We start from the raw sequence: 15,161 nt of genomic DNA, 5'->3' as shown, positions 1-15,161 counted from the left end.
TGTGAATTTGCACTCACCTTCCTCTCTCTGGGCCAGCTTCCCTATCCCTAAGAAAGGAGTTAATAGGATGAGTCCTGACCTGGGAGCCATAAGACTTGGTTTTCAATGTTAATGAGCTTAAGCAAGTCCCTGCCCTACCCTGGGCCTCAGTTTCCCCATCTTCACAAGTTGAAGGCACCAAATGGCCTCAGGACCCTTCTGGCTCTGACATTCAGTAGTCTAAATGGCAACAATGTGTTTAGGAGAATTAAGAGGAGGTGCAAGTGACCCCAAGAAGAGTTTCTTGAGGTCTGGGAGATGATTTTGACTGGGTCAAAAAGTATTAATATTTATAATTATAAATATTATATCATGGGGCCTCTTTTGTTGACAATGCCCTGTGGGATGCCTTTGGCTGGGGACAAGTCCATCAGTGTATAAGAGCCGCTCACACCAGCTAGCAAGAGCAAATTGCTAAAGTTTCAGGCATTTTGCAAGAGGGCTGTTTAACAGTCATTGCTAAAAATTAAATTGTATACTGGGCACAGCAGCTCACACCAGTAATCCCAGCACTTTGGGAGGCTGAGGTGAGAGGAGGATCACTTGAGGCCAGGAGTTCCAGATCAGCCTGGGCAAAATAGTGAGACTTCCATCTCTTAAAAAATCATAATATCAGGCTGGGCAACATAGTGAGACCCTGTCTCTACAAAAAATTTTAAACATTAACGGGGTGCGGTGGCGCATGCCTATATTCTCAGCTACTCAGGAGGCTGAGGTGGGAGGATTGCTTGAGCCCAGGAGGTCAAGGCTGCAGTGAGCTGTGATCATGCCACTGCACTCCAGCCTGGATGACAGAGTGAGACCCTGTCCCCAAAAAATATATATCATCATAATAAAAATTTTAAAATTAAATTGTATACATTTACAATTAAATAAATTATATTAAAACAAAGATATTAAAAATCATCACTTCCTAATTATTTTACTATATTTCACTATTATCTATTCTCTTGAGTTTACCTACATTTATTTTTTTTTCATTTTTATTTATTTATTTATTTTTGAGACAGAGTCTTGCTATTGCCTGAGTGGCACCATCTCAGCTCACTACATGGAGCTGACTGGCACCATCTCAGCTCACTACAACCTCTGCCTCCCAGGTTCAAGCAATTCCCCTACCTCAGCCTCCCGAGTAGCTGGGATTACAGGCGCACACCACCATGCTGGGCTAATTTTTGTAATTTTAGTAGAGACAGGGTTTCACCATGTTGGCCAGGCTGGTGTCGAACTCCTGACCTCAAGTGATCCACCCACCTCGGCCTCCTAAAGTGCTGGGATTACAGGCGTGAGCCCCCGCACCCAGCCCTACATCTGTTGTTATCTGTGTAGTGGAATTATGACATAATGATGTGCTTCTGCACATCTCTTCCTAACTCTTGGCTCCATAACATCGTGGCAGCAGCTTGAATCAGCCGAGTGGGGGTATTTACACCACAGAAATTGGTAAACAGCATATGGGGGCCAGGGAAAATTTTCCCTTTTGCCCTCTGAAGGTTCATGGAAAAATCAACTCACAAAAGGCAGAAAATTGGAGACAAAGCATACAAAAGTTATTATTAACATGTACATGGGAGCCTTCAGCATGAAGACCTGAAGAAAAACAGAAAACTATTCGTTTTTATGCTTAGGTTCAACAAAGTATGGACAGCCATGTAGAAATATGACTGGATGAAAAGGCTATGATCAAATGCTAATAGACTGAGTGAGGAAGCCCAGCAAGGACTTCTGCCTGGATTCTTCCTGGCCTCTCTGAGCATTCATTCCTTCCTTCTGAATATGGGGCAGGACCCACTCTAGAATGAGGATCTTATGACCTAGAGTCAAGGTAGGTAAGATAACTTCTTTTCACACAGAAAGGTGGAGGAAAATCCAGAGTAATGCTTTTAGGTTTTACGGCTGGCTTCGGGGGAAAAGGGGTTTGTTTTCCGTGAAATGTCTTGGGGAAAAGGGATGCTAGCCTTGGGGAAGAGAGATTCTAGTTTCTATGGCTAGCCTCAGGGGAGAATGGAACAGAAAGACAAGAGGACAGGAGAAGGTCAAAGAAAAACTTTTGCTTCTGAGGCCTTCATTTTGGGGTATTGTTGTCTGAGTCCTGATAGGTACAAATAAGGAACTGATTTGTTGTTTTGTTGACTTTCAAGACTAAAGAAAGTGATAGACAAAATGTTAAAAGTGCAAATTAAACTTAATAGTTTGTCAAGTCTGGTGCTAAAGCTGAAAGAAGTTTCTGTTTAATGAATATATCTGTAGAAGGGTGAAAAATATTATAACAGTAGGTTGGGTGCAGTGGCTCACGCCTGTAATCCCAGCATTTTGGGAGGACAAGGCGGGTAGATCACTTGAGGTCAGGAGTTCGAGAGCAGCCTAGCCAAGATGGTGAAACCCTGTCTCTACTAAAAATACAAAAAAAATTAGCTGGGGGTGGTGATGCACGCCTATAATCCCAGCTACTCGGGAGGCTGAGGCATGAGAATCACTTGAACCCGGGAGGTGGAGGTTGCAGTGAGCCGAGATCAAGCCATTGCCGCCTGGGTGACAGAGCGAGACTCCGTCTCAAAAAAAAAAAGAAAAATATTTTAACAGTAGATCCTGTAGCACATTTAATGACAATAAATTTATTAGGAAAATAATTAGCAGATTGGTATCTATGCAATTCAATTTCAAATTTTGGTTGAATTGCAACCATAGGATGGCTACAGATATGAGTTTGGCAAAAATTAATGAAACCATTCTGCCAGAATCAATTGGCTGTATGGAATTTACTATCAAGTGTTTGTATATGGACCAGCATGGTGCCTCCCATCCATAATGCTAGTGCTTTGGAGACCCATGTGAGAGGTTTGCTTGGGGTTAGGAGTTTGAGGACAGCCTGGGCAACATAGCAAGACCTTGTCTAAAAAACAAAACAAAACAAAACAAACAAACAAAAAAACTGTTTAAATGATCTGGGTGTCATGGTACGAGCCTATAGTCCCAGCACTCAAGAGGCTGAGGCAGGAGGATCACTTGAGCCCAGGAGTTCAAGGCTGCAGTGAGCCATGATCGCCCTACTGCATACCAGCCTGGGTGACAGGGTGAGACCCTGTCTCAAAAAAAAAAAAAAAAAGGAGTTTGCATATTGTGTCATTTGTAAGTTAAGCTGTGTGCTACACAGCCTTTATTTATTTTTTTGAGACAGGGTCTCACTCTGTCACCCAGGCTGGAATGCAGTGGCACGATCTCAGCTCATTGCAATCTCCATCTCCCGGGTTCAAGAGATTCTCCTGCCTCAGCCTCCTGAGTAGCTGGGATTACAGGTGTGTGCCATAATGCCCAGCTAATTTTTGTTTTTTTAGTAGAGACTGGGTTTTATCATGTTGGCCAGCTGGTCTCGAACTCCTGACCTCAAGCCATCTGCCCGCATTGGCCTCCCAAAGGGCTAGGATTACAGGCACGAGCCACTGTGCCTGGCCTACACAGCCTTTATATCAGTAAAATTTATAATAAATATATGTCCATATATAACCTATACATTTGGATTTTTGAGAAACTAGTTTTCAAATATTTATTGTCCAGCAAACCACTGGGCAATTCCAAGCTTAATAAAGTCCTTTCAAAGCACATTTCTTATCAGGAAAGCCATCTCCACTCCACTAGGGGATGTACACAGAGACAAACAACCTCAAGCTTCCACTGGGGATACTCCAGGACACATGTAAGCTCCACGGCTTTGGAGTCTGTCATATTCAAAAATGACCATAAAACCAACACATTTAGGAGATTTGCGGCACTCTCTTCTCTTTGATGTTTTCTAATTCAAGTGCCTTAAATAAGGCCCTTTGACTACAAGGAACAGAAACTGTCTCAGGCTAACGGAAAGAAAAATCAGGCGTTATCATAAGGATTGGGGGAGCAATTGTGGCCCCTTGTGGAGCTGGATGGCTTCTGGAGCTCAGCACTTTCCCCCTCTTCACTGCCTCATTCTTCTCTACTCCTGTAGAGAGCTTTCTGCTTCTTTTCTTCTGTGTAAACCGCAGTGAATGTGAAGGTGGCTGCTTTACAGTTCCCAAGATTACCTGTTCTCAGTTCAGGGGCCAGTCCCAGCCAGTGGAATGCAGATTCCCAAGCCCCAGACAAAGGACCTGATTGGCCTACTTGGATCAGATAGGCATTCCTGGATCAGTCAGTCTCAGTTGCTTCTGAGGCCTTCATTTTGGGGTATCCCCTCCGGGAAGCTGGAGGGGCAGGAGTCAAAGCATACAAACATGGCCTCAGGGGCCATACCTAGTAGGGAGCGGCAACTCTCAGAGAAGGAGGGTGGGGCTCCCGAAGGTTTGTAATGTTGAACTAAGTCATAAATGAGGCCCGCTGCGTGCCCAGAACACACACCGGCAGAGCAGGTTTCCTTGCATTCTCACCATTGAGAAAGCCCTCTATCTAGGCTGGGTAACCAGCTGCCGTGTGGACTGTCCATTATCTGACAGTGTATGCTATCAGTGAAAATGCCTTTATTACATATTTGACAATTTTGTCTGTAAAAAGGTAAAAAGGACTATCTCTCATGCAGACATCTTCCAAATATTGTGACTGTAGTGAAAGAAAATCATCTGTTCCACCAGCCAAGTGACCATCCTGGGGACTCCTGGGACTGACCACGGACCCCAGTCAAAAAGACGCTGCATCATAATCACCTTTTTTCATCATTTCACAGAGGACCTGAGCTCCTCAGGGGCAGACCCTGGAACCACTGGGTTCACAGTGCCTGGCATGCCCAGTACAGTCACATCAACAACTGACAGACCATGCTGTCTACAGCAGGTTAAAATTCCGGCTTCCTCTCCTACTAGCTGTGATCTTGCTCAAGTGACTTAACTTTTCTGTGTCTCAGCTTCCTTACCTATAAAATGGGGATAAAAAAATATTACCTACTTCAGGGCCGGGCGCGATGGTTCACGCCTGTAATCCCAGCACTTTGGGAAGCCGAGGAGGGTGGATCGCCTGAGGTCAGGAGTTCGAGACCAGCCTGGCCAACATAGTGAAACCCTGTCTCTACTAAAAATACAAAAAATTACCTGGGTGTGGTGGCGGGTGCCTGTAATTCCAGCTATTCTGGAGGCTGAGGCAGGAGAATCGCTTGAACCTGAGAGGCAGAGGTTGCAGTGAGCCAAGATCGCGCCACTGCACTCCAGCCTGGGCAACAAGAGCAAAACTCTGCCTCAAAAACAAAAAACAAAAAACAAAAAAAATTATCTACTTCATAGGGTTGTGGGATTAAATGAGTTAGTATTTATAAAGTGTTGGAACAGTGCCTGGCACAGGTAAATGTTCAACAAGTGTTAGGTTTTTTGTTTTTTTGTTTTTGTTTTTGTTTTTGTTTTTGAGACGGAGTTTCGCTCTTATTGCCCAAGCTGGAGTGCAATGGCTCGATTTCGGCTCACTGCAACCTCCCTGCCTCCCGAGTTCAAGCGATTCTCCTGCCTCAGCCTCCTGAGTAGCTGGGATTACAGGCATGCACCACCACTCCCAGCTAATTTTTGTGTTTTCAGTAGAGACGGGGTTTCACCATGTTGATCAGGCTGGTCTCAAATTCCCGACCTCAGGTGATCCGCCCACCTCGGCCTCCCAAAGTGTTGGGATTACAGGCGTGAGCCACCGCGCCCAGCCAGGTATTATTATTGGCATCTTATCCCCAGCTGGGTCCCTGCAGGCTGGCTGCGGAGTGGGTGGAAGAGCTGGCATTGCCCTCTCCTCTATCCTCCATGGCCAGCCCAGCAGGTAGGCTAGTGTGCATTTGGGGGAGGGACTGTGTGGAGCAAGAGGGTGGAGGAGACCCTGGCAGCCCGAGAGAGGGGTGAGTGTAATGGCCCTGTGCCCTGGTGGGATGCCTGGACCCACCCAGCTGGGAGGAACTCTGGCTGTAGGTGAGGCTCTGTGATACTGGGGCTGATGTGACTGTATGTGTCTGGGGTGGAGAGGTGGGTGTGCCCTCAGTGGTGATGGGTCTAGGGGTGTGAATGTTTGTCCCTGGATGAGTGTGTCTCTCTAGCAGGATGGTGTCTGTGGGACTGTGAGTCTCCAAGGGAATGGCTGGAATGTGTTAGGAGCAGAGCTAGCTAGCATCATTGGTGTGAAACCAACCTGTGCGGTCAAACAGAGCCCTCAGAAGGGCCCTGCTCTTGGTTTAATGATCTGCTGTCATCATCTTGAAATTCTTTTTTTTTCTTTTTTTTTTTTTTGAGAGGGAATCTTGCTCTGTAGCCCAGGCTGGAGTGCAGTGGCGTGATCTCGGTTCACTGCAAGCTCCGCCTCCCGGGTTCAAGCGATTCTCCTGCCTCAGCCTCCTGAGTAGCTACGATTACACGTGCACCGCTATGCCCGGCTAATCTGTATAATTTTAGTAGAGACAGGGTTTCTCCATGTTGGCCAGGCTGGTCTTGAACTCCTGACCTCAAGTGATCCACCTACCTTGGCCTCCCAAAGTGCTGGGATTATAGGTGTGGGCCTTATCTTGAAATTCTTAATAATTGTTGAACAGGGGCTCACATTTTCACTTTGCACTGGATCCTGCCAATTTTGTAGCCTTCTGTGTAGGGGCTGTGTGTGTATGGTCCACCATGGGCCAGCTGCAGGCCTCTGCCCTAGTCTCTGATGCCACGTATGTGGTGAGGATATGTGGGTGAGGTCGTCCATGTGGATGTGTCTGGATGTGTGGGTGAGATCATCTGCATGGATGTGTCTGGGGGTGTGGATGAGGTCGTCTGTGTGGACGTGTCTGGGGATGTGGGTGAGGTCGTCCGTGTGGATGTGTCTCGGGGTGTGGGTGAGGTCATCTGTGTGGATGTGTCTGGGGGTGTGGATGGTGAGGTCATCCGTGGGGATGTGTCTGGGTGTGGATGGTGAGGTCATCCGTGGGGATGTGTCTGGGTGTGGATGGTGAGGTCGTCTGTGTGGATGTGTCTGGGTGTGGATGGTGAGGTCCTCTGTGGGGACGTGTCTGGGTGTGGATGGTGAGGTCCTCTGTGGGGATGTGTCTGGGTGTGGATGGTGAGGTCCTCTGTGGGGATGTGTCTGGGTGTGGATGGTGAGGTCGTCTGTGTGGATGTGTCTGGGTGTGGATAGTGAGGTCTGTGGGGATGTGTCTGCGTGTGGATGGTGAGGTCCTCTGTGGGGATATGTCTGAGTGTGGATGGTGAGGTCATCTGTGTGGATGTGTCTGGGGGTATCGATGGTGTGGTCATCTGTGTGGATGTGTCTGGGGGTGTCGATGGTGTGGTCATCTGTGTGGATGTGTCTGGGGGTGTCGATGGTGTGGTCATCTGTGTGGATGTGTCTGGGGGTGTGGGTGAGGTCGTCTGTGTGGTTGTGCCTGGGGGTGTGGGTGAGGTCGTCTGTGTGGATGTGTCTGGGGGTGTGGATGGTGAGGTCATCTGTGTGGATGGGCCTGGGGGTGTGGGTGATGTCATCTGTGTGGAAGTGTCTGGGGGTGTGGGTGAGGTCGTCCGTGGGGATGTGTCTGGGTGTGGATGGTGAGGTCCTCTGTGTGGATGTGTCTGGGGGTGTGGATGGTGAGGTCGTCTGTGTGGATGTGTCTGGGTGTGGATGGTGAGGTCCTCTGTGTGGATGTGTCTGGGGGTGTCGATGGTGTGGTCATCTGTGTAGATGTGTCTGGGGGTGTCGATGGTGTGGTCATCTGTGTGGATGTGTCTGGGGGTGTGGGTGAGGTCGTCTGTGTGGTTGTGCCTAGGGGTGTGGGTGAGGTCATCTGTGTGGATATGTCTTGGGTTGTGGATGGTGAGGTCATCTGTGTGGATGGGCCTGGGGGTGTGGGTGATGTCATCTGTGTGGATGTGTCTGGGAGTGTGGATGGTGAAGTTGTCTGTGTGGATGTGCCTGGGTATGTGCATATCTGGGATGTCTCTTCTGGACTTGAGAACCAGAAAACCATGGTCTCTGAAGGGGTTCCAGAAATTATTAGAGAAACCTTACCTCACCCCAACCCCAGACACAGGGGAAAGCTCTGTGCTCAGTTCCTCCCTGCACATCCTAGCCCAATCTCATGCGCCTACACCTGGACCTCTTTGTCACTGCAAAATCCCAACCCCCTTTTCTGCTGCTCCTGTCCGACTGCACCCCTATCCTGTCCTTGTGGAAAAGATGGGATGGTTAACTGGAGACTTCTGAGATTAACAAGTCCTGAGCAGAGTGCAGGACAAGCAGAGAGAAAAAAGGAAAGGGAACACAAGCCGGCTGAGCTCCCATTGTGTTATCTGTTTCCGCACCTCGAAGGGATGTGGAGGGGCCATCTCCCCACTCCCCAGACAAGGCTACTCCCTGTACCTTCTATCAGAGCTTCCTGTGAGGAGAAGCTGGAATAGATGGTCAGTAGTCCCAGTTTTCATCCTGTCTCTGTCCGCAACCCATTCTGGGACCCTCGACAACTGGTCTCCCCACATCCAGCCTGTTTCCCCATCTATAAACCAAAAAAGTTGGAGGTTCCTTCAGCACTCCCACCTGACTCTTGGTTTTCTACACTACCTTTGACAACCACTCCTGGCTCTGCACAATGAGACCGTGACCCTCACCTGGGCCAGCTGCAGGCCTCTGCCCCAGTCTCTGATGCCAGGTGCAGTCACTGACTCCTGGGTCTAGGAGCATCTAGTCCCATTAGACAGATGGAGAAAGTGTGGCCCCAGGAGGGGACAACACCCACTAACTTAGTGGCAGGGCCCAGGTTCAACCAAGTCTTCCTACCAACCCTCCCTCCAAGGCTCGGCTGCTGCAGCCACCATCACTGGCTCTGAACTATAAGCAAGATGCTCTCTCGGGAAACTCAGCACCCACAACACAATCTCTGCCCCCATCCCCACTCCTATCATTCTGCCAGTCACAAATGAAAGGGCATTCATCCCTCATTGTACTGATGGAGAAACTGAGATCCAGAGAGATGCAGTGGCTACTCTAGATCACTTAGCCAGGAACCTCCTGGCTCCAATCTCCTGGTTTCCCCGAAACACATTTCTTCTCTTCCCAACCCCCTACTAAAGACCCCAATCCCTGCTAAGCATCCAGAGTCTCTGGAATCTGAGGGCTCTCTCTGGGCCCCTCCCCCAGCCCAAGTGACCCAGGGCAAGACCACTGTGTCTGTGTGGGGTGGGGCTGGGGTGAGTGGTGCTATTTCCCAGAGATTGAAAGACAGCCTCAAGAGGGGCACTGCTTGCTCTTTGCAAGTTGACTGGACCCCCATTCCCACCCAGGCTGCAGAAAGGACATGTGGAGGTAGTGGGGATGGGATAGTAGGCAGGGGTGGGATAGCCAGGCCTGCTTGAGGCCCAGAGAGCACAGCTTCCATTCTTTAAACTGGCCTCCGCAGACCCCCAGGACCATATAAGTGGGTTCCAACACCCTTCCTGGCTTCCACCGGTGAAGATCCCTTTTATCTCCTGGACTTCCAACTAAGAATTTGTGGTTTTTTGAGACAGAGTCTCACTCTGCTGCCCAGGCTGGAGTGCAGTGGCGTGATCATGACTAACTGCAACCTCGACCTGGGCTCAAGTGATCCTCCCGCTTAGCCTCCCAAGTAGCTGCGACTACAGGCATGTGCCACCACGCCCAGCTAATTACTTTTTTTTTTTTTTTTTTTTTTTTTTTTTTTTTTTTTTGTAGAGATGAGGGTCTCACTTTGTTGCCCAGGCAGGTCTCAAACTCCTGGGCTCAAGCGATCCTCCCACCTCAGCCTTCCAAAGTGTTGGAAATACAGGCAAGAGCCACCACACCTGGCCTAAGAATTTGTTTGAAGATAGGATTTAATGGAGTAAAAATAGCTCTCAAACCACAGCCATGGTCTCACATTACTCAGATGGGGAAAGAGCTTTAGAGGATAAGTGGTTTGTCCCAGGTAGCACAGCAAGGCACTGAGGGAGCCCTAGCAGGACCCACACTCCTGTCTCCCAGCTGCCCTTCCTTCTCAAGGCTGCCTTTCAGATCCTCCTGTAAGCAGGGCCTGGGTGGGGAGGCTTCATGAAGGCTCAGTGGGGGGCCAAGTCTGGGGTTCAGTCAACAAACTCTGACAGCAGAACTGTTTTCGGTGGAGGCTTATACTATGTCCTGCCCTGAGAAGAGGACAGAGAGATGAATAAGGCACAGCACTACCCTCAGCAAGCTCCCCATCTGCGCCTGAATATGGGGAGAGTGGGTTCCCACAAAGCTAATTCTAGACACCTCCCCCTTCATTCTAAGTTTTCATTTTCCTCAGCCGTGAGCCCTCAATCTTACCATTCTGCCTTTCACCTGATGTTGCTATCCTCCTCCCTCTTGTTTCCTTCCACCCATCCTTTCCCTCCCACATTACTCTCTTATCCCACCCTATTTTACAACCAGTAGCCTAGGGAAAAGAGCATAGCTCAAATGAGGAAGAAGGCAGGACAGGCAGTCATGGCTTAGCTGGACTGAGCTGCAGTGCTTCTCCTTCTGGGGAAGGGGGTGCACTGTCATCTGCTACTGACACATCCCTCCAAGGCACTCAGCCCTGCAGGGAGCAACCTGATTCTATGACTGACATCTAATCTTCACATTCACCTTGCAGGAAGGCAAGAAGTGATCCCAGCCTCCAGATGGAAAGATCAAGGCCCAGAGAAGGTCAGTGGTGGTTGGAGGCCTGAGGTCACACAGCAGCCAAGTCTGGAGTCACTAGTCAAGGTGACCTTGACTAGCCACCCCACCTCCCCTTCCCTGCCCCACCATGGCCCTGGGAGATCTGTTGTCCTGTGAGGGAAAGGGGCTCCAGGCTGGGCTGCATCTGAAGCCCCTAGATCCAGAGACTTCATTTCTTAGGCTATCTATCCTTGAATTATCTCTAAAATCCACCTTCCTTTCTTTTCCCAGGACCCCCATACCCTGCTCCCAGCATCGTCTGCCTCAGCTAAGCCATGGGGATTGAGAGAATGGAGCTAAAGGGCACAGCTCATAGTCCTGGCTGCCCTAGCCAGACATCTGCCCCACTGTGGGTGCCTCAGCGATTCCTGGGGAGTCAGGCAATACCTGTTCCCAGAGCCCCCACTTCTCTTAGAAACAGAAAATAGCTCTGGGCCTCATAAGTGCCAGGATCTATCTAAGCACTTGGTGTGTGTTAGCTCACTGTACCCTCAGAGGAGGTAATTGAGGCACAAGAGAGGGTGAGTAATCTGCCTGAACAGATGGTAAGTGGTTAAGGCAGGACTTAAACTCAGAAATCTGATTTCAGAGACTTTTTTTTTTTTTTTTGAGACAGAGTCTCGATCTGTCACCCAGGCTGGAGTGCAGTGGCACGATCTTGGCTCACTGTGTAGCCTCTGCCTCCTGGGTTCAAGTGATTCTCCTGCCTTAGCCTCCTGACTAGCTGGGATTACAGGCATGCACCACCATGCCCAGCTAATTTTTGTATTTTTAGTAGAGATGGGGTTTCACCATGTTGGCCAGGCTGGTCTCGAACTCCTAACCTCAAGTAATCCACCTGCCTCGGCCTCCCAAATTGCTGGGATTACAGGTGTGAGCCACCATGCCCGGCTCAGAGACTTTTAACCACTGTATCAGAGACCTCCAGTACCCTGATATCTACTCTCTCCCTTTTCTAGAGTAAAAAGCCGTCCAGAATAATCACTATATTTCCTAGTCTCCCTTGCATGTAGATGTAGCCAAGAGAGAAGAGATGTGTGCAGTGGCCAGGCCATGCCTTTAATTAGGAGGAGTGTGTCCTCTTCCCTTTCCCCCTCTCTCTAGTTGCAGTGGGTGCATGGCTGAGCCCTGCCAGACTGTGCAGTCTGGACAGCTGCCACAGCCACCTAACTGATATCTTCCATGCAGCCTCCACACAGCAGACAGGGAACTCTTCCCATAATACAAATCAGATCATGAAGGTCCCCTGCCCGAAATCCTCCATTACTCTCAACTGCTTTCAGAAGGAAGGCCAGACTCCTGGATGATGAGCAAGGTCTTCTCCTGTGTGCCCTACATTATCTTTCCATTCTCATCACTTGCCATTTTTATCTTCTGCTGTCACCCCAGGGCAATCATCAGGAAAATCTCATCCTCTCTCAATGAATCCTTCTCCTCTGCTTTCCCAATTCCCCTCCCCACATCTAGTGGACTCCTATGTGCCTATCCTTCAAGACCCAGCCCAAAGAGTGCCTCCGTATGAAGCCTTTCCTGACTTTTCTGGCAGAGTGGGGGGCTCCCTCCCTCCATGGTATTCCATGGTATAGAGACAGCCCTATGTGATAGTAATAGCCTTTCTGTATTGTCATAGTCTGTAGACAAGTCCACCTCTCCCATCCCTCTATGAGGGCAGGGACCAAGTCTAGGTCATCTGTTGGTTATCCATACTCAGCATGAGGCCAGGCATCAGACTAGTGACAGTCAAGTTCAATGAGTGATTGACAGAGAAAATGTGTGTGTGCACACGCATGTGTGTGAATGGCCTAATCTGGCTAGAGGCCCAGGCCAAGGAGACAGAAGACATCTATAAATAGCCCCATCCCCAGGCCCCACACCAGGCCTGGTGCCCAGATAAACTGACCCTGGGTGAGGGGACAGGGGCCCAGAATGGGCAGGTAGAGACTGAATACTGAAGAAGAATCCTCTGGAGTCTGTTAGCAGAAGCAGATGGGCCTTGCCTGACTATTGGCAGGCGGACCTGGTGGTCAGACCTCAGTGATCCTCAGGGACCAGTGAATATTTCAGGCTGGGGCTGAGCATCACCTGCTCCCTTGGCCCCACTTATAGGGCAAAGGGGAGTCTACCAGCCTACTCACTGATGACAAACTGGAAAAGTTTGTCCTGTCTCTGCTCTGGCCCCACCTCGCCCTCTCCCCTACTTGGAAGTTCCTTTCCTGAACCACTGACTGCCAAAGCTTGAGGGATTAAATAAATCATCTGGCCCAACCTCCTACCATAGAGTTGGGAACACTGAAGAAAAGAGACTGGCCCAAGGTCACAGAGAAGGCAGGGTGAACACTGTCACAGGGAGAGCCAGTGTAGAATAATGGTTAAGCCACGCAAGCTCTAGAACCACTCTATCTGAGTGCAAATCCTGGCTGTCATCTGTAAATCAGGGATGAGAATAGTACCTGCCTCACTAGGTTATCGTCAGGGTGACATGAGTTTGAAAGACAAAAAGCTGCTAAGTCCGGTGCAGTGCTCAGGGAGTGCTGCACCAATGTTAGCCACAATTTTCTGCACCTGGCTCATAGCACACAAAGCTTCTCTATACCCACAATCTCATTTATTCTCTCGAAAGGTTAGACATTACTATCCTCATCACACAGAGGAGGAAACAGGCACAGAGAGACTGACTTGTCCAAGTTCATGCAGGTATTGTGTCTCCCAACTTTCCTTGGTGGTCTTTATGCCTCCTCCCCATTTCCTCTGACAGGTCATAAACTGGCTCACCAGTGGTGGGAGAAGAATCGGTAGCCAGACATATACCAGCCTACTATGACTCCTAGTGCTGCCTGGGCTGGTTTTTTGTTTGTTTGTTTGTTTGTTTGTTTGTTTGTTTTGAGACAGAATCTCACTCTGTTGCCCAGGCTGGAGTGTGGTGGCGTGATCTTGGCTCACCGCAACCTCTGCCTCTTGGGTTCAAGCAATTCTCTTGCCTCAGCCTCCCGAGTAGCTGGGATTACAGGTGCCCGCCACCATGCCTGGCTAATGTTTTTTTATTTTTAGTAGAGTCAGGGTTTCACCATGTTGGCCAGACTGGTCTTGAACTCCTGACCTCAAGTGATCTGCCCCTCCTTGGCCTCCCAAAGTGCTAGGATTACAGGCATGACCTGGACTGTTTTTACTCCTGCACAGGGTGATCCCATTCTAAGGACAGCCTTCTTCATCTGACTTTATCTTTTCCTGACTCTGATCCTATCCCTCTAACCTCATGGTCCTCCCACCGCCAACCTTTACAAGGAGAAATCTTTCACCCTGGGCTCCAGTCCTGGTCACCCCCAGCCCACCCAGTCCTTCCTGCAAATGGGCTCCTTCCTTTTCCTATCCAGTGTCTTTGTTTACTATAGAGTCCTGGGTTGCTGCCCCATCAACCCATCCCGGATAACTCCCAAGATCTCAGCCCAAGCCAGGCTGACAGTGTTGGCTTTGTACTTGCTTCCTGGAACACATCTGGCCTCAGACTCCTGAGGCCAAGACACACTCCCTGCCAGCCACCCTGCCATGGCTTGCCAGCTCTCCTCACCCAGGGACAACAGTGGGCATCTGTCCACACCAACCAGGCTCGTCAGGTCTCCGGGAGCTGCTTGAATCCTTCCACAATCTTGGGTAAGCTGTTCCTGAATAGAATGCATTATGAGGCATGACTACTGGACCATGTGTTTGGTGCCAGAAGAGGGGATGGAGGCCAGGCCACATGGCACATGAACATGCTTGAGACCTCATGGTGATGTGAGGTGCCATTTTATAAGCCTAAGGTTTACCTTTCTAATTATACTTTACCTAATCCAATATTAGAGGCTATTTAGAGTTTTGCAGAGGCAACCTTTTTTTCATTTGAGAGAAAAGGAAACTGAAGTTTGAGGAGGGAGCCAGGGTCAGCCCCAGGTCTGGGGCCTGGTTTAATCACTTTCTGGGAATAGCCCCATCCCCCCAAAAAAGCTGCTGTTGAGATCCAGGCTACCCTCATGCTTTCCAAAGGGCAATTCTCACCTGGGAGTACTTGGGGCCCCACCACACACAGGAAGTGGCCCAGGCTACTGGCCCTCAGGGATGGAGTGAGAAAGAGGACACAAAACAGGATACTTTGGCAGGAGGAAAGTTGAGAGTAGTGGAGGAGATGGTGATGGTGTCAGAATTTCAAAACAGAGAGAACACTGCAAGAACAAGTGGCTTTCTTTTTCTCTGGAGAGACTGTCCACTCCACAAATACATGCCAGGTCCTGTGCACAGCAAGAAGCAACACAGACTGGGTCCCAGCCCTCTAAGGGCCTCCGGTGTAATGGCAAAGACAGACTCTGAAACAAACATCAAAGCAGGATAGGGAAGGCCAGGGAAGATGGTGTTACCCAGAAGCAGGATAGTTATGCTGAAAGCTGAAAAATGAGTAGGAGTTGGCCGGGTGTGGTGGTTCATGCCTGTAATCCTAGCACTTTGGGAGGCTGAGGCAGGTG

General features: G+C 49.5%; 1 long non-coding RNA gene across 1 annotated transcript; it reads left to right on the top strand.

The window, feature by feature from the left end:
- On the top strand, nt 4,773-11,026 carry LOC105378623 (uncharacterized). Its single transcript, XR_947141.3, has 3 exons — nt 4,773-4,836; nt 10,601-10,653; nt 10,900-11,026. It is a non-coding gene; the product is annotated as an uncharacterized LOC105378623 (long non-coding RNA).
- Nucleotides 11,027-15,161: the final 4,135 nt, after the last annotated feature.

This window comes from Homo sapiens, chromosome 1 (assembly GCF_000001405.40).
Source record: "Homo sapiens chromosome 1, GRCh38.p14 Primary Assembly".
NCBI lineage: Eukaryota > Metazoa > Chordata > Mammalia > Primates > Hominidae > Homo > Homo sapiens.
This window is presented reverse-complemented; position numbering and strand designations above follow the sequence as displayed.